This window comes from Homo sapiens, chromosome 5, assembly GCF_000001405.40.
Source record: "Homo sapiens chromosome 5, GRCh38.p14 Primary Assembly".
NCBI lineage: Eukaryota > Metazoa > Chordata > Mammalia > Primates > Hominidae > Homo > Homo sapiens.
Window position 1 is genome coordinate 144,990,145 of NC_000005.10, and position 1,213 is coordinate 144,991,357.

Genomic DNA, 1,213 nt, shown 5'->3' on the forward strand with positions numbered 1-1,213 from the left:
GGCACAATACTCTTTTGATTACTATACCCTTGTAGTATCATTTGAATTCAGGTAATGTGATGCCTCCAGCTTTGTTATATTTTTGCTTAAAACTTCTTTAGCTATTTAAGCTCCTTTTTGGTTCTTAATTTTAGGACTAATTAGGACTTAATTTTAGGACTAAATCCAGAATCCACAAGGAAGTCAAACAACTCAACAAGAAAGACACAACCTCATTAAAAAGTGAGTAAAGGGCAAGAACCAACATTCCTCAAAAGAGACATACAAGTGGCCAAAAGTCATGAAAAAATGCTCAACATCACAAATCATCAGAGAAATGCAAATTAAAATAACAGTGAGATACCATCTCACACCAGTTAGAATGGCTATTATCAAAACCTCAGAAAACAACAGATGTTGGTAGAAATGCTGAAAAAGGGAAACACTTACACACTGCTGGTAGGAATGGAAATTAGTACAACCTCTATGGAAAACAGTGTGGAAAGTACTCAAGCAACTAAAAATAAAACTACCATTTGACCCAGGAAGCCCACTACTGGGTATTTACCCAAAGAAAAAGGAATTGTTATATGCAAAAGACACCTACACTCATATGTTTATTGTAGCATTATTCACAATAGTAAAGTCATGTGATCAATCAACATGTCCATCAATGGACAATTGGATAAAGAAAATGTGTTGTATATATACACCATGGAATACTTCACAGCCATAAAAAAGAATAAAATTATATCCTTTGCAGCAACATGAATGGAGCTGGAGGCCATTATCCTAAGTGAAGTAACTCAGAAACAGAAAACCACATATCTCATATTCACATTGGGTAGACATGGACATACATACAAGGGGTAATAACAGACACTGAAGACTCCAAAAGTGGGGAGGACAAAAGAGGGGTATGGCTGAAGAATCACCTATTGGGTACAACGTTCACTGTTTGGATGATGGGTACACTGGAAGCCCAAGGTCCACCACTATGCAATATATCATCTAACAAATCTGCACATGTACCCCCTGAATTTTTAAAAATAAAAATAAAAAAGAGAGTGAGGACAGATGAATAGATCACTAAAACAGAAAAACCGTTCAGAAGTAGTCACACACACATATATATTTTTATTTTCCGAGAGCTTTACTGAATTATGGTTGACATATGATAAATTCCACATATTTCATATATAAGATTTGATAATTTTTAATGTGTATATATATA